We start from the raw sequence: 27,609 nt of genomic DNA on the forward strand, positions 1-27,609 counted from the left end.
AATATGTGTGTTGTGAAATTAATGAAATTACATGTGAAGCATGAGATTATCTAAATAAAGGAGAAATCTGAAGAAAGATAAAATGAACACTGGAGTGGCAAGCAGGGACAAGAACAGAATATTGAGTTTTTTAAGTCTGCATATGGTAGAAAGTAGGGTGGCATGATGAGAGTCAAGCTTTCAAAAACAAACAACAAACAAATAAACAAAAAAACACTCCGGAGGCATTTGGTGAATGGACTCAGGAAATTTAAGAATGGATCTGGGATCTGGGGAGTCCAGGTGGTTTGCTTACGGTGTTTGACATTATAGCGGAAAGAAGTGGACACATTAGAGAATATTTAGGCTTTGGGAATGGTAGAGCTCTGTAATGCATTGGGCAAGTGGATGGGGAAGAAAGACGGGAAGGGTGGCATAGTGTCTGGCTGTGGTACTAGGTAGTGGGTAGTGATGCTATTCAATAATACTGAGGTAGAAGACTTATAGAACAAAATTTAAGATTAGTTTGTGACAAGTTGAGTTTGAACAACTTTGTGACACGCGAGTGGAGATATTATATAGAGAACTGAATACAAGGACCAAAGATTCAAAGGAGCTATTTGCAGTAAAAATTTTAATGCATAGTCATATAGGTGGTATAATTGAAGCTCAAGACAAAGTTTCTCAACCTTGGAACACTGACATTGTGGCCGAATAATTTTTTATTGTACAGGGTGATACTGTGTATTGCAGAATGTTTAGAGCATCCCTAGCCTCTGCTCACAGATGTCAGTAGCAACCCCTGAGTCATGATAACCAAAAATGTCTGCAGCTTTACCAAATATTCCACAGGGGTGCAAAACCACACCTTTTTGAGAAACACTCGTTAAATGATAGTAAGTAGGAAGAGAATGCAGAGTAATAAGAAAACCATATAACCCTACTGAGACAAGAAACCTTAAATTTAATTTGGCTCCAATATATATGGCTCAAATAATTTTCTTTAATTGGAATAATTGTCATGGATATAAAAGTGGGTAACAAGAACAGGAACGCAACATTATTTTTCAGTACTATTTTGAGACTTTCAGTTAAAGTAGGATCCAGGGTAGACAGAGAAGTAAAGCCAAAAGAGTTAGAGATTTCCAAGTGGTTTAAGATTAAGTTTACTGGAAACAAAAGAATTTTAAAAGGTATGAAGTATTTGTAAATTCCAATTTGAAAGGGGTGGGGTGTATCTACTTATACAGGTGGTTAATCTGGCATATCCTTGAATAAGCTTAACTGAGAGACCATGTTCTTGCTGATTACATTTTCGGAAAAAGCAGAGCTGGTCTGTATCTCTACTATACATGTGGACATTAATCAGGCCAGAATCTTTTTCACTGGAATTTTTGCTCCTGTTACTGGCAATGAACTCTAGTGGCTTCATGGCAAGTCTTAGTATCTTTGAAGAGTGATAGACTATTAGGACTTTGTTGAACCCTGTAAGGTAACATTACTAGTTACATGCAACTATAAACATTATTAGTTACATGCTACTGTTAACAGTATTTTAAATACCTAATTTTTATTCATTGATTTGTATAAATTTAGATTACATATATTAGAAATATAATTTGCACTGTTGGTCTGATTATTTTGTTGGTAAGCAAATAATTGCTTTATTTTGTTGATAAGCAAAATAATTTATTCCCTGAAAGATACATAAATATATAATCATTTTACAAAATGAAACCTGTGGAACCTGAGGTAAAGTTAAATCACACATCATTTGCTTCCTCTTTTATTAAAGTTATTTACTTAATTTGCAAAATTTCAATTGAATGTTGTTTTCTAAAGTACTTACATTTAAGTTTCACTTGAATATTTTGAATCTACATTGCTTTGATATTACAGTTTCTTTTATTTGCAATACTGAGTATAGCAAGTTGTGCTTTGCCTATAACTGCCAGCTCCTTTGAAAGTGAGAGTGAAAAAAATAGAAATCTCTTTTAAAACAATTTAAAGATGCCTTTTTTTTTCTTAATGACCAGAAATGTCTAAAATTCTGGTTTCTAAAATTGTGCCATTTTGAAATTTCCCTGGCGGATAGCACTGCTCTGCTGTATTACATGTGGTTAATGTTAGTCACATCCTTGATGTAACATAACACAAGCTGGCTAAGGTAATCCAGTGTGACATATGACAGCATTGTGAGCCAGTCTGGGATATTTGAAAATATGCCATCTTTCAAAGACCATGGACAGCATGGTTAGTCAAGATTATGAACACTGTTGCATTCATTTCAAACAACATAGTCAAGGCTCTGTAATAATTAGAGGGTAATTTCCAACATGGTCGAGTCTGACAAATGCTAAAATGCTAACAAGAGTACTTTTTCCTTTTTTCTTGCTGCTGAGTTTATATTTGAAGCCACTAGGTTAAATTGTAAGAAAAACAACTACTAAGATGTAATTATACGTTGTTTTAGGTATGAGAATGAGTGAAAATTTATAAGACAATGCAGGGATGAGTGAACAATGTCTAGTAATTTATAAAGAGGCAACAGGTAGGCATTTGGTACCCAGTTATTTCCATTTGCCAAAAGCACTCAGGTTGAATCAAGTATGTTAGCATTAGATGAATACAATCTAGAAACATGAGCACCCAGGCGAAAATCTATATTTTCTACATGTGTTGTTGAGTTTCCCTGTAAAAGTCTTTCTGTCTTCAACCTAATTTATTGTGCAGGCTGTGGAAAATCTGAAAACCATGTTTTCTTCTAGGATTACTTCATGATCAGCTTCTTTGGTTTTAAATTTGTTGCACATTTGCTTAAGCAGAAAATACTACCACTAATAATTCCTGATGAATAGTGATGAGTTACAGAAATGAAAATAACCTGGACACTAAATTCAATAGAGGATGGAAGAGGAAATTGAACATAATATGAACATCTTAAAATGAAAAGGTAAAACTGAACTACAAGGTAAAGAGTCAGTGGAGCTGTCTTTTTGTGAGATTTACAACTGCAAGTCATAATATGCTGTTGCCTTATTATGTTTTAAAACACCCTAATTTTATAAAAAAAACTTTTTTCTCTCTCCCTGTAAGTCAGAATCATTAAGTAATACCTGTGCTAATCTATTAATAAAATGATTTAAATAAATATGGAAAATAATTTATTTTCTTGCAAATTAAAAAGTATATACCTCATGCACATATAAAAGGATAGGTAAATATATTTTAATATTGGTTTTCATATAAAATTTGTTTAAAATATTACATTGAAGTTTACTGAACTGCTGAGATGACAAAGAATATAGGAAGAAAATGCTGGCATTTTTAATTTTAGGTACAATAAAAACATTCGTAACACTGTAATATTAATCTTCTAGTTTAGAGTAATATTTTTCTATTGTTTTCTCATTTGAACCTCAAAAGTACATTGCATATTACGAAGATAGATTGTTTTATCTACTTAATGGAAATAAAAATTAATGTAATCCAACCTTGATCCAGTCTTTGAACTTCAAGTCTACTACCTTTCTTTCTGTGATTTTCATAAAATTAGAAGTTTGTTGAAGTGACTCAAGACATAATGAGCGACGCCAAAATTTAATGTAAAGACAAATAACTTAATGTCAAATGAAGAATGGATCTGCCATCCTGGTGTTATGCTTTAACATGCAAAAAGTGCACACAGATATTACCGCTCAATTCTGGTTGATAATTAGATTAAAACACGGTTATAGCTAAAACTTTGTAATATTTTATAGTTAATGCTATAGGGTGTGTTAGAGTAGAAACATAATAATACAAGAGAAATCCGTATAGAAGACCTGATACTTTTGATTGAGCAGATACAAGAAAAGTAAATATTCCCAAAGGGCCAGGCGTGGTGACTCATGCCTGTAAGCCCAGCACTTTGGGAGGTCGAGGCAGGCAGATCACTCGAGGTCAGGAGTTCGAGACCATTCCGGCCAATATGGTGAAACCCTGTCTGTACTAAAAAAATAAAATACATAAATAAATAAAATCAGCCAGGCGTGGTGGCACAGGCCTGTAGTCCCACCTACTCAGGAGGCTGAGGCAGGAGAATCACTTGACTCGAAAGGCGGAAGTTGCAGTGAGCTGAGATTGTACCACTGCACTCCAGCCTGGGTGACAGAACAAGACTCCATCTCAAAAACAAATATATACCTATAGCCAAAGTTACTGATTTTATAAAACAATATACAAAGTCCTTTAGAAAAACAAAGCAAAAGAAAACAAGCTTGCCTCTTTTGAAGAAACTCAAGGTAAAATTATATAAACTGAGGCCAGGTTCAGTGGCTCAGCACTTTGGGAGGCCGAGGCAGGCAGATCACTTGAGCCTCGGGATTTGAGACCAGCCTGAGCACCATGGTGAAAACCGGTCTCTACAAAAAATACAAAAATTAGCTGGGTGTGGTGGTGTTCACCTGTAGTCCCAGCTACTCAGGAGGTTGAAGTGGGAAGATCACTTAAGCCCAGGAGGTCGAGGAGAAGTGAGCTGAGGTGATGCCACTGCACTCCAGCCTGGGTGACAGAGTGACACCCTGTCCCAAAAACAAAAAAGAACAAAACAATATATTAATATATAAACTGAGGAAAATCAAGGTGGAAGGTGAAGCATATTTTTTTTTCTCTGTGTTGGTTTCAAGAGTGTTGTTTGAATATTTTGTGGAACTAGTTATCCATGACTCTGCAATTTCTTCTAGAGATGTTACCTCACTTAACAGAAGGGATAGGATACTAGGAAAAAAAAGTTAATCTTTGTTAGATGCCTGCTATGACAACAGTTTTTCATGCATTATTGATTATCAAATAAAGCCTGTGAATGGATATTATTATCCCATTATATATGCCAAGAACTGAGGCTTACAGAGGTTGTGACTTGTTCATGGTAATATAGCAAATAAGTGGCAGAGCAGGGATTTGTACCCAAGTATGGAGTTAAGGTTTGAATATTAAAAATAATGAAAATATGTATATTAACCTTGGAAGAAATATAAACAGATAATAAGTAAATAACAGAGAATAGAATAGAATAGAATAGAAAAGATAAAAGAACAAAGAAGTTTTTCTGGTCTAGCATTTGTACAGGCCTACTGAGGAAAAATTGTGTGAATCAGTGGAATAATCGATAATTCTGTTTGGTATTTAGTTGAATTATACAACTAAGGAATCTTTCAGATAATGAGTTGGCATGCATTTTGACCTCCTGAAATACTGTAAGGTAGAACATGGCAGATGGAGCCAGACACCTGCATTCGTTTCCTTGCTGTCTAGTTTACTAACTGTGCTACTTTGTGCAACTTACTTTGTTCCTCCAATCCTTAATGCACTCCTCTACTAAATGAGTATTAATGTTACTTACCTGTGTTCTGTTAAGGTGTTTGTGGTCAAAAACATTGCCAAAATCTGAGAGGCTTACAACATCAAAGGTCCATTTATTGCTTGGATTGCAGACCCTTTTCAGGTCAGCTAAAGTTCTGCTCCCTGTTTTCTTCCTTCTGGCAGAAGAAGCCACCCCTTCTGGGATGTGTTGGTCTTATGGCAGAGGGAGAAGAGAGATGCAGGAACCGATTATACGGTAGCTCTGAAAGGGTTTGCTTAAACGGGCCATGCATCACTCTCACTCACCTTTAAATAGGCAGGAGGAAGTCACATACCCAAGCCTCACATGGAGGAAGGTATCATCACCTCATAGGAAAAGGCAGAGGATAACTGGAAAAATACTATCACTTACCACAACATCCACAGGATTATCGTATGATTAAATGAGATGAAAAAGTAAAGCTCCCAGCAGGGTTTTAGGCACATAATATGTTCTCTAGAAATGGTATTTCACTTTCATTCTATGGGATCCAGAGTTAAGCTAAACAAAGACCAAGCTCATGAGGAATTACAGCCACATATAACAATTTTCCAGTGTCTGTTTTGTTTGTAACCTTTATTATAATAATTGATAGTTAAAAGAATGAAAGTCATATTTCAAAAATCACAGTAACAGAAAGATTTTAATCCTCCAATGCAATTGTCAATAAAGAATTGACAAATTAAGACCTGATTTTTAAAAATGCATTCTTAATTTTTTAGGTGTTCTTAATTTCTTAGAAACTTTAATTGATATATATATCTCTCAATTAAATGGGCATCATTAACAAAATAATAAAGCAAAGCTTCCATTGGAAGGTAGCATGTGGGATACCCAATGAAAATAAATTTTGGTTAAGATTGAATTCCAGTAAGAAATTTATCAGGGATTTTGCAAACTTTAGGACTAGAGGAAAAATTCCCTATTGAATGTTTCTGAAAAGGTCTCTTTTCTGTGTCATGTGGTCAAAGAATTTTGTATGAGTAATGAATTTGGTCTTGTAGATTTTTGGATAAATCCTTAAGAAAAAAGCCAACAAGTCTTGCCCTCCCTCTGTGAGATCAAAGACACCACTGTGTTTTTGGTATGAAAAAGGTTTCCCCATGGTTGCCAAAAATATGCTGTTTCCCCATCAGCTGTGTAGCGGCCATGAAATGATTGACGGCCCTTGCAGTTTCTCCAGGGTGGTTCAATTTCAAGTTGAAGGTAGTGCTGAATTTGAAAAGTATTTTGAGTCCCTTTTGAATAAAAATTACAACAGGACAAAAATACTTCTTCCTTTCAGCTGACAGTCAATGACATCCACTTAGTAAGGTGTTACTGTAGTACGAAGTGGCCCTTTGTGAATACGTGGGATAAATTTCCATCTATGCAAGGCCAAAGTACTCAGTTGTGATGATTTACCTTTTTTTCCATAATAAAATTTAATAGAGAAAAAATAATTTGAGATGAAGACTGAATTCTTTAAATGCTTTCACAGAAACAAATTTTTGAAAAATTTCTTGTGAGAAAAAATATAACAATGTTATTGATACATAATTATCTTATTGTAAACTCTTTAAATAATAAAAATCTGTTATCACATGATTTTAGAGGTACTAAAGTTTGAAACATATACTCTCTAAATATAATAAATTATCAGAGAACTCTGGCATAAAATGAATAATGACAAAAGGGTGTTAGTCATATCCTATCAAGGAATCTCACAATATATAAACCCCACTTTGATACCACATATGTGAGAAAAATTTTGAGAATCCATGTGCTTGTAGTTTAGCATACTTTTTAAAAACTTCAATGTATCCACTACGTTACAAAATTGAAAACTTAAAAATAAATTGGTAAAAAATAAATGTTAACAAAAATTGATTAAAATTCCTCTCAGTTATTTGTGGGAGAAAGGAAGGATGTACAAATCATTAAGTCTTTCTGAAAAGAGCATGCCCTTTGAGCTGCTTAATGTATACGAGAATGGAGAGTCCAGTTGCCTTAAAAAAAATTCCAGAAAACATCCTCTTTTAGGAACTACCTGGTTTTTACACGAGTGTTTACAACCTTGAGATTTGTAGTATTCCTTAGCTTTCCCTTGAATCTCAGGTCCAAATCAATGAAACAATGTGAAATAAAACACTTAGGCACTTTATGATCCAAATCATAAAACTAAGGATATGAGATGTTGAATAATTAGAACTAATTGGTGACTGCAAACAGAGATCAAATTCACCAGAAAGCTGCATGACTTTTTCTTTAGTTCATAGGCACTGTTTAAGATCAGAGGTTTAAAAAAAAAGGTTGCATGTTGTGTTAATTGATTCAGGAATATGTTTTCTGCTCACTTTTGATGCTATAAAATGAAATGGAACAGTCTGGAATGCATACTGAAACAAGGGGTTACATGGGTGTGGCAGCTTCACAGCCTACACTCGTTTGTTGTTTGCCGGTAAGCATTCATTTGTTCAACTTCTGATATTTGGGCCTTGTTCCAAGAGTATTTTTGAGAAAACGTAAAAGTTCTGTGTGAAGTGGATGAAGTACTCTTTTAACTTTTGAGTATTCATTGTCTCAAATATTTATATATTCCATTAATTCTATTTCACCCATTTTTTTCCAAGTTACTCTTTAATGTCTCCACTTCAATTTGAATGTATCTAGTTCTAAATATTCTGCAGCTTACAGGGGACACTTATGTCTATATTCTGCAATGTCTTGTTACTTTTTAAAGTCTATTATATACAGATAATTCATTTTAATTATTTTATTAAACAAAATAGCAAATTTTTTAAGTGAAATTTTTGAAGACATTAAAAAACCCACAGTAAATCTCAAAGTCCATTTAAGTAATTATAATGTGATTGACAAATGATGCTGCCTATAGTAATAATGTAGGTATATATGTACACATGCATCTTTTTCAAAAGTGAAAATTTGATAGACATCTTCTTTCTTCTAATTCCTGCTTTGCAAATATCCCGGATCTGAAAACAAGCTTATACTTTATACCAGAATGATCTGAAACAGAGAAAAAAGCCATGCTCTTGGCAGAAATATGTGAAGTGAACTTAAATTGTTAGATTTTTAAAATATTTGAATGATGGTTATCTATGGTGGGTCTCTTCTGATATTTGAGCTTTTCTTATTACTGCTTGAATCATTATCAAGAAATTCATTTTTTCAAGATTTCTCTAAATTAGGAAGCTTTATTCCCTATTTATGCACCTATTATGCACCTATTATGAAATTAAATTATTCCATTGACAACAACCAAAATTAATAAACTAGAGGCTTTTACTGTTAACTGTGTATTTATCTTTAGACTAATGCTATTATTTGAGAGTTAGATGTTAATAAAATCTATGTAGTATTAGTGAAATAACTTATTAACAAGTTTAGAATATGCTAAGTGAAACTCAACCCGTTTTATGTTTACATTCCTAAAGCTTTGATTAAATCCTAATACATATCATCCAGCTGCACTGAATTCATCTGATGCAAACACTTGATAATTGTTCACCTTATACCCTTATCATCTATACACATTCTCTAGCACTCTCTCTTTGAAAAAATAAACTCAAATACCAAAGTAAAAAAAAAAAATTACACAGCAGTCTGAACTCTGAATACAAAAATAGCAATCTTTGAAAATAAAAACAGAAACCTCTAAAATAATGTTTTATTTATCACATACAAACATGTTTTCCTAAGAATTACTTCCAGTATGGGCCACCATATGGAAGTAGAAAGCCATTATAGGAATGAACTAAGATGGTTTGTATCACCTGCATAACTTGTTTTGTTCTATGCCTTCAGGGTTCAAAACCCGCTTCCCATATTTTTTTCCTTTCTTTAAAAATAATGTACATCAGTTTAATTTATCCCAGGTCCTGACAGAAGGATCGGATTTTAAGCATTTAATGCTGTGGTTTCAAATCCAATTTCTCAGTGTTCATCGTTTCAAAAGTGGCAGAATTCAGTTTTTGAAAAAGTTCAAGAACATGGGGAGGACTGGCATACTTTCTAAAGTTCCACATTGATATTAAAGGAAGCTCTGTATGGGAGAGAGCAGTTTGGTCTGAATTTTTCTATAGTGCTCCAGGAGATATTAAACCCTCCACCTTCTTCAACAAGAGCCTCTTCTTATTGGTATCAACCTAGGAATACTTTTTAAACTCATAAAGCATATTGAATACATAATCTATTACAGGTTTTCTGAACTAGGGCCCTGACTGGTTGATATCTTTTCCTAAATGGAGGGCATCGATATATCTGCTTAAGGCTTGATTCCACTGAATGTGTTTGGAAACAACTTTCCCTGAAACTAAGGGGATTTTTATCCATTCAGAAACTAAAGCAGTAGACCCTTGCACAGTAAATTCATTGTAGGCTTTCTTTATGGGTGGTGGGGGAATCTCTAAAGGTCAGGAGTCCAGATTGCTTCAAATAAACATCCAGAATCTCAGATGCTTTTTTGAAACAAGCCCAAGTTTATCTGAACCTCTTTCTCTGGTTTGGAAATCAGGCTGAAAATGTCACAGAAACAGATTTTCTTGTGAGATCTCAGAATGTTGTGGTTTAAGTAAAGTAATAAACAAAGTTGAAAAATGAAAGGCAAAATTGGCTCAAACTCACCTGGTTTCATTCTGTTAGATGCCTAAAACTGAGTGGCACTGTGCAATCTTTAAAACAGAAAAAATAAAAACAAAACAAAAACAGAGTTTGGCTGTGGGTTAGCCTAAAATCATCAAACATTTCTCCTGAGGAGGTTTAAGAGAAACTTTTGCCACTCCATCATGCGCTGTCCTTATGTTGCAATGTTTCATTTATCCCCCTCTCCATCTTCAATTTGAGAGATTTCAGAACTGGTCTTCCGTTTTTAAACTGTCAATAAGGAATAACTCTTTGACCTTTTGAAGTGGAATACGTTCCTTTTTATTTATGGGTGTGATTGCCTTGAAATGCATATTTTAGTATTTATGTGGTATATATATAAAACAATAAAAAATAAAGTAGAATTTTTTCGAATAGCTATTATTGAATACCAGGGATGAGTTAAAACTTCTCCACATATCATATTATTTAATCCTCACAGCAAAACCATTAAGCAGGTATTTTTTATCTCCATTTAATAAATGATATAAAAACAGTTTATGAAGATACAGTAACATTCTTAATTGTACAGCTGTGATACTTATAGCAAGTAAGTAGAGGCAGGATTGAAGCTGAGGATGGCTGACTTCAAAGACCGTACATTTTACTACTAATTTATGTAGTTTCCCAAGAGCTGTTTTTAAAATCCATTTAATATGTCTAATAGCTTTAGCCCTACCTATTACAAATAATGGGTTACATATCTAACACACTAGCTGAAAAGTTCGTTTCTGAAAAAGTCTCTTTTCTGTGTCATGTGGTCAAAGAGTTTTATATGAGTAATGGATATGGTCTTGTAGACTTTTGGATAAATCCTTAAGGAAAAAGCCAACTGTGTATTTTCAATACACTGAAAAGCAGTGTATTAGATATATAGCTGAAATTATTATAATGATAATGCCTTAGATTTATAAGCACTCTACAGAATCCAAATCCTTTTGTATTTGTTTTCTCATTCTAATCCTTCCAACAAACTAGAAAGTAGGCAAATAAGGCATCTGGATCCACGACTGGGGAAAACTGAGGCTTCATGAAATTAAGAGATTTTTCCAAAGTCATGAAACGAAAATAAATCCAGAAGAAACGGCAAATGGAATGTTTTACCTATGTAAATTGCTCTTTGCAAATCAACACTTCAAAATTCCACTCTGCGGTCACCTTTTAATATCTTATGTTATTTTCTCAGTCGCTTCTTTTCAATTACGCTCACTTTTCTCCACAGTACTTTTGCATATTTCAGCTTTTTATATATACTGTGCTCCTGTTAGAAAGTGTTCTGCACTAACTGATAAAATCCAAACTACTTTTGCAAAGCCTGAAAAGGTCTAGACACATGATACCAATGCTATTCTTGGGCTACCCATTTAAGTTATGTATCAAGTCTAAATTTAATCAAGGCCACATTTTATTTATACATTTCATGCATTAAACTCATTTAAACTTTTAGTCAGATTTCATTAGAAGAAATACTACCGTGTACATCATGCAGTAGTAAAGCTAATGTGCTTCAAGAATTTGAAAGGAGTTGGAGATCGGGGGTCTGATTTCAAAATTTCTTTTTCTTTCTCTCCTTAGTGCTTGCAGCAGGTCTGTGAGCAGCACACAGTTTGTTTCCTAGGACACTAATACAGTCAGCATGCTCTGTACAAATGTGTAAACACAGACATTCCCTGTAATCAGGGAGGTTGGTGTCTTAAGGCAAGATTATGTTTTTTTAGGAAATGCAATTTATGTTCAGGATTAAATTTCTCTTGCAGACTGATAACGTCTGAGGTTCAGGGAGATGATAATAAGTGTTGTGTCCTAAACTGCCTGCCCTGAATCTGAAGCCTTGAATTAGTCTTCCTGTATAGCCCTCATTCTTATGACCCCAAATTAGGTAGTTCTTCATGTCTTAGAAAGATGAGAGAAGTAAATAATATAAAAAGACAAAATACACTTTAAAAAATGTAAAGCATCTATAAACCTCATGGTGGTTACAAGGAAATACAGAGACATAAGGAAAAAATACAGATGACACCATGGCTAATATCCTTCTTCACAATTCAGGAAATTTAAATTTGTGTCTGGTACTTTGGTATTCGTGAAATTGAGATGGAGATGGGCAGAAAGTTAGACAATATTCTTATAATCGCTTTAGTCTTCTCATGGAATGATCCTAACACTATAAAACAACTTAAACACATAACAAATATTCTCTTTCTAAACAGTAGTTGAAATAAATCCAACCAGAATACCAAGAAAACCTTCTCTATAAATCCTTTCATCACAAAACTGCTCTATTTCTTTTCCAAACCAGAAAAAAAAGTTTTCAGAAGTTAAAAGGGCAGTTTTTATGCCAAAACCACAATTTTTTTGACCTAATATTAAATTCTTAAGATTTTTTCCTTTCTTTCTTTCTTTCTTTTTCTCTTTCTTTCTTTTTCTTTCTTCTTTTCTTTTCTTTCTTTCCTTCTTTCCTTCTTTCTTTTTCTTTATTTTTTTCTTTTTTCTCTTTTTCTTGCTTTCTTTCTTCTCTCATCTTCCTCCTCTTCCTGTCATTGTCTTCCTTCTCCTTCTTTTCTTTATTTTTCTTTTTCTTTTAACCTTCAGAGGCAGAGATCTGTGGTTACTACCAACTCCTTTTTACACAGGGAGTGCAGATCATACAAAAGAAAAACATAGCCTTGATCAGACAGCTGAGTTTTTTTTAATCTTAAAAAAAATCTATTTTATCCAAATGAATTGAGTACTCAGAACTGGAACTTTTCAGACCACAAGGAAGACTGACATGCTTTTTTATCATGGTAACAGGTACTGACTGCATGGGGAGAGGCCATACCACAGAAACCTCAATCTGCCTGAGCCGTGACTCTGAGAGCTGGAGTACCACTGGACAAGGTGAGGGGAGCTTTTGCTTGTTTACTCAGAAATATTTTCTAAATTACCTGTTTGTGTTATTTAGGAGGGCAGGATTGGGGAATGCCACTTTGACCTGATTTTTACAGAATAAACTCCTTGCGTAGCGTTATAATAATCAGAATAACTAGATAGGCTCTTTTAGGCAAGGTTGGGCAAACTTTCTATATTCTGACTCCTCTTGTTGTTTTCTTCCCAAACATTTGAAAGAAAACACATTACAGTTTACAAAAAAATCCCTCATTCTGCCTTGTGTTGGTTCCACCTCCCCTAAAAATAGAATTTTATGATGCTCAATCTAATTTCTTTTCAAGACCATTTATTTAATAAGAAGAATGTTCTCCTGGCCTGAGATGCAATATAAGTGAGTATGTATTTTTTTTCATAGAGTTAATGTTTACGGCAGAGGGCTAAAGCATTGAAAATAAGGAACTGAAATGGAAACTCTGACATCACTTTAACGGCAGTCCTGCTGCCTTACTGGGGAGAAAAATATTAGCTCTTGTCTAACTTACCTTTTCCATAAGGTGTAAAAAGCACCCTATACAGAGGGAGTATATGAAACCCATAGCTAGTCTGATTGCTTGCATGCTATTCATATACACGCCCGTTGTAAGCTGGCACTGGGTGAACCCGCTGATTCTAACCATATGGCTGCCTGCAGAAGTGCACTGAGGAGTTTCCTCCAGGGTGCCCGAACGGTGTCCTACTGGCTTCCTAGGCTGCAGGAAAAAATGAAAAAAAAATGTAATTTTCCCATTATGAGATTTCATCCAGATGCTCATGAGGTCATACATTAAATAATGAGACTTTAAAGAACATTACTATTTTGAAGAATTGCAAACTGTATGCATTTCTCCACTGGGTGGCGGTCGAAGTCCATAATCATGAAGACAACTAAAAGACCCGGAAACTGAAAATCTAATTTAAAAAATATCACTTAAGGGTTAATTAATTCAGAACTACTATTCTTCTAATCAGATTACCAGTTTATAGTGCTGTGTGTCAGTCAGACTGTGCTGGTTCTGCCTGTTGGTAGACAATTTTGCATTACAGAGAGCTGTAGAAACTTTTGAGCTATTGAAAGATTTTATCTACACTGGTAAACTTATATTTTTTTGGAATAATTATCAGGAATAAAATATTTTCTACCACTATGTATTCAATCGTCCACTGACCACAACAATTTCTCTACAATCAGGTTTTTTTTTTTTTTTTTTTTTTTTTTTTTGCATAACTTTACACAGCTTTTGAAGAAGGTATTTCTTGTCCCAAATCTTTCAAAATTCCAGAAAGGTATCATTTTGCTTAATAGTATTCCTTGGTTATGGCCTGTTATTAACAACCCCTATAAACTATTCTGATTATTTCTGGAACTGGAGTCTATACAGCTATATAGGACATTCATTTCAGTTTAATAATGCTCAGCTCTTGTGTGCTAAGCTATCAACTGTAAATAGAAAATCTCATGTAAGGATTTAGATTCCAGTGAGATGAAGTCAAGGTTCATATTAGATAAATGCCTTTACTTTTAGCTTGTTGAGTTGGTTTTCCTTCTTCTTTCTTCTAGCTTTAATTTCTGTGTCTTTCTCCATATCTGCATGTACAAATCCCATTTCAGGTAGGTCTTGGCTAAAAGAAAGAAGTGCACAAGTAGTATAAATAGAGCACACATTAGGGTCAAACTCTTCTGCAGGATGTAGTTATGTGCCCCATACCCCACCACCCACCTTGTATGACCAACCAGAACCAGATATAAGTCAAATTGTGCAGTAGGTGAATTGGTTTTGCTTCATAATCATCTCCTCTTTCCCTGACCTTATCTCCATATTACATGTAGTAATGGGCAAACCCTGGTGCTTTCCTTTACCTCTCATGTTCTCAAGGGCTTTCCAGGTATAGCCGACAGTTGCCACATCACACAGACCTTGAGTTTCTGATAGGACTGTTGGTCAGTGTCAGACCCTGCTCGTGAAGGCTGTGAGGCAGCTGGCATTTGCTAAAGGCAGTTGATCTATAAAGTTGTTCTGCTGGCCAAAAAATAAACGATTTTGAGCACTACAATGGAGGAGATCCAGTCACCCGGCTGCAGAGTTCAGACCTCACTAAGGACTTGCTTTTCTTCTGATTTTACTTAAAGATTAATGTAGGGTGATGGACTTTGGATGGAGAATGCCTGGCTGTCCTGTCTTCAGCTCTATCTTGCACTGTGGTCATCAACTTTTCTCAGATCAAAAATAGGCAGGTACGGGTAGTGGGCTTACAACGTTTGACCGCAACTGGTTTTTCTAAGTATTCTGTACATTTTTCAGCAGCAAAACCAAACTGGGTCTTCAGCTTTATCCCCATTTCTTGCAAAGGAAGAGCCTTTATATGATTGGGCACATTTTGGTTTTTCCTTACTGAGAATTTTAGTCTTCTTTTGTATTGTTTCTATAATAATTTGTAAACATATTTATTTGTACCTACTTTTTAAAACTTTTCTGGTGAAATTCATTGTACTGCATTTTATTTGTCAAAATAAACATTCTCATAATGCTGGTTAAAAAAAAAATGCAGCTTAAAATGAGGCGTGCTCAGCAAACATCAGTGAATTACAACAGTTCCAAAGAAAACTAGTTCACTAGTTGACAAAACAAAAGCACAGGTTTTAAACAGGCTTGGGTTAGAATCTTGATACCATTATTTACAGATTACATAATTTAGGTTAATTTACTTAATATCTCTGCATTACTATTACCTAATTTGGAAAATGGGAAGAATAGTTCCTATAACTAACAGTGGTTTTGGTTATTAGATTAGATAAAACATATGAAACACTTAATCATCTAACCTATGGTAACTTCTCAATAAATGGTAGCAATTTTCATCAAGAGTAAACACTTAAAAAACCTAACTCTGTGTGGCACTGTGATAGACTGAGATTAAAAGATCATAAGGCACACTCTCTGCCCTAAAATATATACAGTCCTCTTGAGATAATTATTTCTTCACCAACAAATATTTACTGAACACCTAGTACATAACAGAAATTGGTTTTGATGATGATATTGATGATATTACAGGCTAAATAACCCTTTTACATATCTCCTGGGACCAGAAGTCTTTTGAATTCTTTTTTGATTTGGGAATATCCCCATATACATAATGAGATTGGGACCCAAGTCTAAACACAAAATTCATTTATGTGTCTGTACATCTTAAACACATTGTACTTTTATACAATATTTTTCATAATATATGCAACCTGTCACATGAGATCAGGTGTAGAATTTTCTATTACGGTGACATGTCAGTGCTCAGAAAGTTTCAGATTTGGGAACATATTGGATTGCAGATTTTCAGATTGGGGACTCTCAACTTGTATAACAATGAATGAAAGAAACATGAACCTTGCACTTAGGAAGATTACAGTTCTGTGGGAGAAACAAAGTTTAAGCAAAAACACATTATTCAAATATTTTAAAAATCATAATCTGTAAGTACCATGATGTCAAAGTACAGCATAGTTAAAGCCTAGATGTCAGCTGGGAGTCACCCTCTACATGGAATTAAAAATAAATATTAATCTTCTATCATGTTCTCTGAGAAAATGGATATTCTCCTCATAGCCATGCAGATTCCTCCAGACTTATTTTCTGAGAGTCATCTCTTTCCCTAATTCCATATTCCTACTAAAATCTCTATTTCTCTGCAAATTTAACTCCTACATTCTTTTCCTTCTGTCTGCCTTTCGTAGACCAAGACAGATTATATAGCCTTTTCCCCTGGTGTTCCCCCACCCACCGCAAACATCACTCACATGTATAATGGGGTCAACACCGCAGCACCACTCAGGGATCAATTTCAAGTTGAATCTTAGATGTTCTTTTCTTAACAGACATTTGCCCATTCTAACCAAACAGAATGTCTAACTTGTCAAAAAAGAGAGAAAGCTAAGCAATTCTGAGTCAGCCAGATGATCTTCACAGGAGTATTGGTTTGAAAAAGGCATTTTGTTTCAATGATGACAGTTTTTGTTGATATTTTGTTATGCCTTTATAGACTGTTTTGTAGACCTAAGCTAGATTGAAAGATGAAGTAAAACTTTCCTGAGGAAGTGATATTTAAGCATAGAATTGAAGGGTGTGTCATGAGTTGCAGAAAAGGATTCAAAACAGATAACGGCATATGTATAAAGGCTGGAAGATTTTTAATACGCTTGACTTGATCTGACTGTAGTCACATTCATAAAACTTAAGTAGAAATACTCAGTAGCTCAAGTTCACTTTCAAGTTGCTATCCTAGGGAAAATTCCAGAAGTTCAGGGAAGGGAGAGTTGAGTGAAGGGTGGAAATCCAAGGTGAGTCTTGTTTAAAGAGGTGTGATTTGTGGAGCTTGAAGAAAGAATGGAACTTAGACAGTGAGAGATTGAAAAGGACAGGAGGAGCAATGGGATGGAATGAAGGCTGGGTGCTTGCTGTTGTGCTCATGGAGAAGGAGTCAAATTTGGTGAAGGAAAAGGAAGTCAATGATTCTTCTTGAAAAGTCATCAAAAATCTGACTGAGGAGTCCTTGAATATCTTTGAGAGATAGGGAGATAACTTTTGAGTAAAACAGTATCATAGAAAGCTGGGAAGTCTTAATTCCTCAGGAACATTGGTGGATGATGCTAGTTTAGACTTTAGTTGAGGCTGTTGGCTTAAACACCTGCAATATGGGCTCTCCAAGTGGTATGGGCTTTCTCACAACATAGTGGCTGGATTTTTTTTTTTTTTTTTTGACAGAGTCTGACTTTGTTGTCCAGGCTGGAGTGCAGTGTCATGATTTCGCCTCACTGCAACCTCCATCTCTTGGGTTCAAGCGATTCTCCTACCTCAGCCTCCGGAGTAGCTGGGATTACAGGTATACACCACCATGCCCAGCTAATTTTTTGTATTAGTAGAGATGGGGTTTCATCATGTTGGCCAGGCTGGTCTCGAACTCCTGACCTCAGATGATCCACCCACCTCGGCCTCCCAAAGTGCTGGGATTATAGGCATAAACCACCGTGCCCTACCTAGTGGCTGAGTTCTAATAGTGAATATTCCAAGAGAAAGCCAGGTAGCCGCTGTATGTGCTTTCATAACCTAGCCTCAGAGATCAATGGCACTTATGCATATTCTATTTATCAGGATGGTCAAAACCTTACCAGGTTCAAAGAGAATGGAAAGAAATTTAATTTCTGGATGAGGAATGTCAAGATTGTGAAAGAATGTTAGGGACTAGAAATATTGCTTCAGCCATATATGGAAAATACAATGTGCCGATTTTCTTTGTGTCTCAGCTTGGAAGTAGGAATACGGATTTGCGTTTCAAGGCAGTAGACTATGTGGATTATTTTGTCTTTAGGAAAATTAACATCTTCATTAATGTGATTTACTTGACACTGGCAATGAGAAATTTTGTTCATCCTAAGAAGTTGTTTTGAGTGTGTGCGAGCACAAGCATTTCAAACAGTAGTTATCCGTCGACAAGTTTGATGAGTGAGGAAGCTTCGACCTTGGAATGCTGATGTCCATTTCAACATAGTCTTTTGAAGCTCCTGGCTTCTATAGCATTGCATAGCTCTGAGTCAGATAAATGCACAATTGTGGCATTTTGTTCAATAAACTTATAGTGTTAAGAAAGATGGGCTGGGTGCAGTGGCTCATGCCCGTAATCTCAACACTTTGGAGGCTGAGGTGAGCTGATCACCTAAGGTCAGGAGTTAGAGACCAGCCTGGCCAACATGGTAAAACCCCCATCTTTACTAAAAATAAAAAATAAAAATAAAAATTAGCTGGATGTGGGGGCAGGTGCCCTGTAATCCCATCTGCTAGGGAGGCTGAGGCAGGAGAATTGCTTGAACCTGGGAGGCGGAGGTTGCAGTGACCAAGATCGCGCCACTACACTCCAGCTTGGGTGACAGAGAAGGACTCCATCTCAAAAGAAAAGGAAGAAAGAAAGGAAGAGATAGACTCAGGCTTAGGAGATTGAGTTTTTCTAAAAGTGACTGTGAGGTTAGAACTGTGAATGAAGAAAAAGGGACTTTCAAGAGCAAGCTAGGAAAGGGTCTTATAAAGGATTTGCCTTTTGTAGTTTTCTATTTATTTTATTTTATTTTTTTAGATAGAGTCTCACCCTGTTGCCCAGGCTGGTGCACAGTGGCGCAATTTAGGCTCACTGCAACCTCTGCCTCCCGGGTTCAAGCAATTCTCCTGCCTCAGCCTCCCAAGTAGCTGGGATTACAGGCACCTGCCACCACTCCCACGGCACAAAGTATTTTATATAAAAATACAAAAATAATTTTTTGTATTTTTAGTAGAGATGGGATTTCACCACATTGGCCAGGCTGGTCTCGAACTCCTGACCTCAGGTGATCCGCCCACCTTGGCCTCCCAAAGTGCTGGGATTACAGTTGTGAGCCACCATGCCTGGCCTGTAGTTATTTTCTTTAGCACCGTGAGAACAGTCATACTTAGCATAGTGTGTTAGGGATTTTTTTTGTTGTTTTTTTCTATGTTGTAACTTGATTCTCTTCAGTAATGCCTCAACTTTTCAATCAATTCTGTCATATATATAAAAGTCTTAGTAGTCGTCCATGTGAAATTAAGGGATTGGGTAGAATGGCATCCAATAGATGCCAGTTTCTAGGTAGTGACCAGTAAGAGCCTAATGCAGAACTCAAATATGACAGAGAAACAACTTTCAGGTAGATGATTCATATAGGAAAGAGATACTTGAAGCTAGCATTTGGATTAAACATGTAATGTGTCCAGTATAATGACTATCATATAGTAAGCATTGACTTATAGAAGCTATTATTGCTGTCGATAGTAAAGACAGAACTCTTTATGCTAATCATAATTTGATTTTAAAATCAGAGTTCTAATGCTGAAATTGATTAATCTGATTGCTATTTATTAATGGCACTGATGATGCAAATAGATGTTTATGGTAAAGACCAAAGACCAATGATAATGATCCTAACCCAGTGGAAAGAGATTTTATGACTAAATTATCTTCTAGCACCTCTCAAATCACACCAAATAAGGATTTTTTTTTCTTTCTTCCTTTTTTTCTTTCTTTTTTTTTCTTTTTTAAACCAAGCTTATTTGCAAAGCAGCTTCCAATAATTTGGACAAAGTTTTAAAATGTAATTAAAAAGACAACTTTTAGCTAATTAAAAAAAAATCCTGCAAAATTTGACTTTGAGTTTAATTTGTTTGTCATCACTATTTCATGATGCTTCTCCAAGGAAGTAAAATGTATAAATTTGATAAAATTTGATTTAAAAATTGATGAAAATGATTATTTCAGCTATTTCAATAGCTATTACATATGACAATTGGATGAGTAAAATTAACTAGTGGGAATAGAGCTTAAAGAATAAAATGAACACAAACTTATTTCTAATATTGTATATGTCTTCGTTGTGAAGGTCAAAACTGGCTAGAAATGTATACTTGTTATGATATCATAGGGGAGTTCATCTGGAGTTAGGAGGCTTGGGTTCTAATAAGCAAGTATACGTAAGTCTCTAAAACCCAGTTGTAATGCACTGTCTAATATAGTAGCCACTGGCAATATTTTTAAAAAGTTAAATAAATTTTCATTTAAAATTAAATAAAATTTTAAATTTGACTCCTCAGTCTTACTAGTCCCATGTCAAGTAATCAATATTTATGCACAATTAGTGGCTACCATAGTGGACAGCTAGCTCAGTTACAGACATTGCAGAAAGTTCTTTTGTATAGTGCTATTCTAGAATGTCTATCCTCAGCTACAAGCATATTATTATACTCTGTGCCTTGCCTTTTCCCTTATCATTTTTAATGCTCTATTTTGGGGAAAAGAAATTTTTAATTCTAGTGTGTTTTTAATCATCCATTTTTTTCTTATAACTCTTTCTGTGTCCATTTAACAAAATTTTGCCAATTTCAAGATCATGAAGATATTATTCTGCCTTTTTCTGAAAGAATAAGATATTTCACCTTCTATCATATTGTGAATCAGCACTTACCTAGATAGGAATGAAATGAATGCTAATGATAATGGTGGTGATATGACTGCCAATTTATAGTCTCAATACATAAAATACTAAAAGAAAAGTTATATTATGAAAAATAGTCTTTTTTATAGAGAGAAGTGTAGGGATATGGAAAGTATTCTAAAATATTTTCTGGCAATTAATCTTTAATTTTTGTATTGTTTTAACTAAGTATCAGTAAGACATATTTCAATTGATATCATGTCAACAAGTAAATAGTTTGTTTTGTGAAGCAATCTATGTATTTAGTTGTGAAAGAATGTGTTTTATAGGCTTGGGTTATAGCTTTCAACTTTCTTTCTTTTTTTAAAATTATACTTTAAGTTTTAGGGTACATGTGCACAATGTGCAGGTTAGTTACATATGTATACATGTGCCATGTTGGTGTGCTGCACCCAGTAACTGGTCATTTAACATTAGATATATCTCCTAATGCTATCCCTCTCCTCTCCCCCAACCCCACAACAGGCCCCGGTGTGTGATGTTCCCCACCCTGTGTCCATGTGTTCTCATTGTTCAATTCCCACCTATGAGTGAGAACATGCGGTGTTTGGTTTTTTGTCCTTGCAATAGTTTGCTGAGAATGATGGTTTCCAGCTTCATCCATGTCCCTACAAAGGACATGAACTCATCATTTTTTATGGCTGCATAGTATTCCATGGTGTATATGTGCCACATTTTCTTAATCCAGTCTATCATTGTTGGACATTTGGCTTGGTTCCAAGTCTTTGCTATTGTGAATAGTGCCGCAATAAACATACATGTGCATGTGTCTTTATAGCAGCATGATTTATAGTCCTTTGGGTATATACCCAGTAATGGGATGGCTGGGTCAAATGATATTTCTAGTTCTAGATCCTTGAAGAATCGCCACACTGTCTTCCACAATGGTTGAACTAGTTTACAGTCCCACCAACAGTGTAAAAGTGTTCCTATTTCTCCACATCCTCTCCAGCACCTGTTGTTTCCTGACTTTTTAATGATTGCCATTCTAACTGGTGTGAGATGGTATCTCATTGTGATTTTGATTTGCATTTCTCTGATGGACAGTGATGATGGGCATTTTTTCATGTGTCTGTTGGCTGCATAAATGTCTTCTTTTGAGAAGTGTCTGTTCATACCCTTTGCCCACTTGTTGATGGGGTTGTTTGTTTTTTTCTTGTGAGTTTGTTGGAGTTCATTGTAGATTCTGGATATTAGCCCTTTGTCAGATGGGTAGATTGCAAAAATTTTCTCACATTCTGTAGGTTGCCTGTTCACTCTGATGGTAGTTTCTTTTGCTGCACAGAAACTCTTTAGTTTAATTAGATCCCATTTGCAATTTTGTCTTTTGTTGCCATTGCTTTTGGTGTTTTAGACATGAAGTCCTTGCCCATGCCTATGTCCTGAATGGTATTGCCTAGGTTTTCTTCTAGGGTTTTTATGGTTTTAGGTCTAACATGTAAGTCTTTAATCCATCTTGAATTACTTTTTGTATAAGGTGTAAGGAAGGGATCCAGTTTCAGCTTTCTACATATGGCTAGCCAGTTTTCTCAGCACCATTCACAATTGCATCAAAGAGAATAAAATACCTAGGAATCCAACTTACAAGGGATGTGAAGGACCTCTTCAAGGAGAACTACAAACCACTGCTCAATGAAAGAAAAGAGGATACAAACAAATGGAAGAACATTCCATGCTCATGGGTAGGAAGAATGAATATCATGAAAATGGCCATACTGCCCAAGGTAATTTATAGATTCAATGCCATCCCCATCAAGCTACCAATGGCTTTCTTCACAGAATTGGAAAAAACTGCTTTAAAGTTCATATGGAACCAAAGAAGAGCCCGCATTGCCAAGTCAATCCTAAGCCAAAAGAACAAAGCTGGAGGCATCACACTACCTGACTTCAGACTATACTACAAGGCTGCAGTAACCAAAACAGCATGGTACTGATACCAAAACAGAGATATAGACCAATGGAACAGAACAGAGCCCTCAGAAATAATGCCGCATATCTACAACCATCTGATCTTTGACAAACCTGACAAAAACAAGAAATGGGGAAATGATTCTCTATTTAATAGCTTTCAACTTTCTATCTCTACTTATTTGAAAATGTTTGCTGTGTGGATCAAAAACCCTTAACCTATGGTTGCCAGACCAGGTACCTTCTTTTCTATTCTGCCTGCTCCGGATGCACTTTCAACCTTAGCAATCCTCTTTTGGTAAGGCAAAATGCTGCACTTGATGAAAATGTTTAGACCGATAAACTTTATGCTTTATAATTTAGGGCTTGTGTAAATGCTTGGGGCTTTTGAGTTGTATTTTATTTAAAGATTTTCATATTTCTGCTCAACTGTTAAATTGTGACAATTTTTTCTGAACTGATTTGATCTATAATAAAGCTTCAATTTGTATTCTAACTCTGAGGTTTTGAGTTCATTTGAATGTCATTTAAATTGTCTCTGTAGTCTCCACTTTGCATGAACCCTCCTTCTAATGACAGGCAAAATAGGAAAATGCAATATACATAGGTAATAGTTTTCCAAACATTTGGGGGAAAAGGTGTGTTATCAGTGACAACATGACTTTTTAGTAGTTTGCCCTCAGTCCTCCAATCTCATAACTTTTCTTTACCTCAAATAATATGTGTATTAGTCAGGGTTCTTCAGAGAGACAGAATCCATAGGGGATGGATGGATGGATGGATGGATGGATGGATGGATGGATGGATGGATAGATAGATAGATGAAACAGGATTTATTAGAGAATTGCCTCACATGATTATGGAGCATGATAAGTCCCACAATAAGCTGTCTGCAAGCTGGAGAACCAGGGAAGACAGTGGCATAGCTAACGCAAGTCTGAGAGCCTGACCACCAGGGAAACCGATAGTGTTACTCTTAGACAAAGACTGAAGGCCTGAGAACATGGAGGGCCACTGGTGCAAATCTTAGAGTCCAAAGTTCAGAGAACCTGGAGTTCTGATGTCCAAAGGTAGGAGAAGAGGTTTCCCAGCTCCAGAAGAGAAAGAAGAGAGAGCGAGAGCGAGACAGAGAGAGAGAAATTCTCCTTTCCTTTGCCTTTTGTTCTATCTGGGCCCTAATTCAATTGGATAGTTCCTGTCCACATTGTCCACATGGGGTGAGGGTAGATCTTATTTACTTAGTCCACCGATTCAAATGCTAATCTCTACTGGAAACACCCTCATAGACCCAGAAATGATGTTTTATCAGCTACCTAGGTATGGCTTAATCCAGTCAAGTTGACATCTAAAATTAACCATCACAATACAGTTTATCCAGAAGAAAATCATCATAGTGATTATATTGTTTCCTTACAAGCAAAGTTTATTATAAATAGAGGTCAGGCCATGCATGGTGGCTCACGCCTGTAATTCCAGCACTTTGGAGGCTGAGGCAGGTGGATTACACCACTGCACTCCAGCCTGGGCAACAGAGCTACTGCGCCCGGCCAGGAGAATCTCTTGAACCCAGGAGGCAGAGGTTGGCCACTGCACTCCAGCCTGGGTGACAGAGCAACACTGTCTTACACAAAAAATAAATTAAATAAATAAATAAATTGATCAAAGAGATATACTTTACATAGGAAATTGCTGATCATCAAAACATTTCTTTAAAGGAAGCTCACCAAGCACTCTGCTCAATCCCTACCTTTATTACCACATTAGTATATTTCATCTTAACAGCATCTCCAAAATCTTGCCAATATTCTCCCACTAAGCTCATTCTCCATCACGAACTCTGTTTTATTCTCTTTTCAGCGCTTAACAACTGTCTGACATTTTATGTAGTCATTTGCTTACTTTTTACTGTTTGTCTACATCTACTTCATTCTAGCTGTTTTCCTAATGACAGTTCACTATGTTTTTCTATTTTCTTTATCAAATTTTTCCTGTTATAAGAAGAAATACAAATTATCCTCAAAGACAGTTTAAGGTGGAATACAAATTAAGAAATTACCTATAAGCAAATTTTAAAATTGAATAAATTATAATCACATTATAATAGTCCCTATACCATTTTGCTATCTTGTTTACAGCTCTATTCCTAGGGTAAAGAATAGTGACTGTCACATGGTAAGACATTCAATGAATATTTCTGGAATGAGTGAGTGAATTTATTAGATAAGCAAAAAAAGATGACTCTGCTGTCTAGAGACAGGTCTGTGATGGAAATAAAAATTTCCTGAGTTTTCAAACTCATATACTTTCCTTATGTCAATCTGCCACTGAACTTAATTTTGAATAAGAAAGAACTGATTGGTGAGGTAGAATTTAGCGAATTTTCAGGGAAAATTACAGTGTCATATAAGTTGACATTAACCAAAGAATTCCTAATCAGCAATAAATATCTATTTTTAGAAAATAGGATTTCCAGAATGTTCAGATAAATTTGAACAGGGCTTGAGGCTCTAAAAAAGAAGATGTTTGAAAAGAGATGAGAAGACCTCAAAAATGCAATTATTGTATTTATGTTCTCAAATTAGTACTACGTTATACACTTATTTCTCTCGGTTATATATTAAATTTGATTACTTCTTTGTTCTCATTATATTTTAACCTGATTTGATCTTTCTATGTTCCCCACAGCAAGTATTCCATTGTATACAATAAGCATTAAATAGTCACTGAATAGAATCAGATGATTTAAATCAGAAGAAAAATAGATACATTTAAGCAAACAAATATTTCTCTACAATTAGATTATAATTCATTTGGATTTTCAAAGGGCTTATCTAGGAGATACAATGAAGTGGATACATACTTAAAATGTGTATATAATGAATAATGAAGAATTAGAATAATTAGTTCATATTTTTCTTACCTATCCCATTGAGCATTACTCCTGTCTTCTTGAAATAGTAAAAAGTAGGGAAAATGTAAATTTAAAATTTTTAAATATAATTGATGAAGAATTTGTTGGAAAAACATTAGAGGGCACCATTACAAAAATTCAAGTCTCCTAGAACAGATGTGTCATATTCTGAAATGTGATTCAGGTATTTGCAAATTATTAATGAGACATCATGGAAAGTTAGAGCTATCTTGAAAGAAAGCTAGGGACAGAAAAATGTCCAAATTAACAAAAGGGAGAAGAGTTTATGTCAGTGACATTTAGTGTTACATATCTGATGTCAATTCTTTTTTTGGGGGGGTAGGGGGCCGACTCCAGAGTACATGTTAAAATAACCATGTTTATTCGATGCAAAAATTTGGTAATGGTGAAGTATTCTAGTTCTTTTCTGATTATCCCAATTCCCATAGTTTTTTCTTCACAGAAGCTTTATTTGTAGCAGCCAAACACTAGAAATTCTCCAAATATCCATCCACAGGAGAGTAGATAAATTGTGGTGTGTTCATACAATGAAAAACTACTCGGCAATAAAAGAACAAACTAATGATGCCCACAACAACTTATACAGTCTCATAAGTGTTGTGTAAAGTGAAAGATGCATTAAGAGTACATAAGATATTATTCCATTTCTGTGAATTTCAAAAACAGGCAGCTCTAATCTATGTGAATAGAAATGAAAATAGTGGTTGCCTCTCGGCAGGGGAACTAACTGGAAGAGGCATGAGGACACTTCTTGTGGTGATGGAGATGTTTTATACATACATATATATATATATATATATATATATATATATATATATAGTTTAATTTTAGTTTTAGGGATACACGTGTATGTTGGCTGTACAGATAAATTGTATGTTGTTAGGGTTTGTATCCATATTATTTTGTCACCCATGTGATAAGCAAAGTACCCAACAGGTGTTTTTTTGATCTTCCCACCCTTCACCCTCAAGTAGGCCTTTGTGTCTATTTTTCTCTTATTTGTGTCCATGTGTACTAAAAGTTTAGCTCCCATTATAAGGAAGAATATGTGACATCTGGTTTTCTGTTCCTGTTTTAGTTTGCTTAGGATAATGGCCTCCAACTCCATCCATGTTGCTGGATAGGACATAACCTTGTTCTTTTTTATGGCTGCATAGTGTTCTATGGGATATACATACAACATATTCTTTATTAAGTCTAGCATTGATGGGCATTTAGGTGGATTCCATGTCTTTAGTATTGTGAATAGTGCTGTGATGAACATACATATGTAAGTGTCTTTATAGTAGAATGATTAACAGTCCTTTGTGTATATACTCAATAATGGGATTGGTGAGTTGAATGGTAGTTCTGTTTAAAGTTCTTTGAGAAATTGCCAAACTGCTTTCCACAGTGGCTGAACTAATTCACATTCCCACCAGCAATATATAAGTGTTCCCTTTTCTCTGCAGCCTCACTAGCGTCTATTACTTTTTGACTTTTTAATAATAGACAATTCTGACTGGAATAAAATGGTATCAGTATCTCATTGTGGTTTTGATTTGGATTTCTCAAATAATTAGAGAATGTTTGTCAGGGCCTATGTCTAGAAAGGTATTTCCTAGGTTTTCTTCAAGGGTTCTACAGTTTACATTTTACATTTAAGTCTTTAATTTATAGTGGGTTGATTTTTATATATGGCTTAGGGAATGGGGTCCAGTTTCTGTGTATGTCTTCTGTGTATGTCCACTCAGGTATCTTAGGACCATTTGTTGAATAAGGAATCATTTTCCCATTGCTTGTTACTTTTTCAGAGATCAGATTGTTGCAGGT

The 27,609-nt window shown here is 35.2% G+C and overlaps 1 long non-coding RNA gene across 2 annotated transcripts in view, besides 1 other annotated feature; it reads left to right on the forward strand.

The window, feature by feature from the left end:
* LINC02820 (long intergenic non-protein coding RNA 2820) overlaps nt 1-27,609 on the forward strand; it is a 172,109-nt gene that overhangs the window by 93,300 nt on the left and 51,200 nt on the right. For both annotated transcript variants that reach the window (NR_183553.1, NR_183554.1), the window contains one exon: nt 12,800-12,886. This is a non-coding gene — a long non-coding RNA (long intergenic non-protein coding RNA 2820). The remainder of the gene's footprint in view (nt 1-12,799; nt 12,887-27,609) is intronic.
* Nucleotides 13,393-13,482: an enhancer, noted in NCBI's record as "active region_6693". NCBI's record gives its function as "activates an Ori minimal core promoter by ATAC-STARR-seq in GM12878 lymphoblastoid cells {active_cell/tissue: GM12878}" and the evidence as "EXISTENCE:reporter gene assay evidence [ECO:0000049][PMID:35858748]".

The sequence above is a fragment of the Homo sapiens genome, chromosome 12, assembly GCF_000001405.40.
Source record: "Homo sapiens chromosome 12, GRCh38.p14 Primary Assembly".
Lineage (NCBI taxonomy): Eukaryota > Metazoa > Chordata > Mammalia > Primates > Hominidae > Homo > Homo sapiens.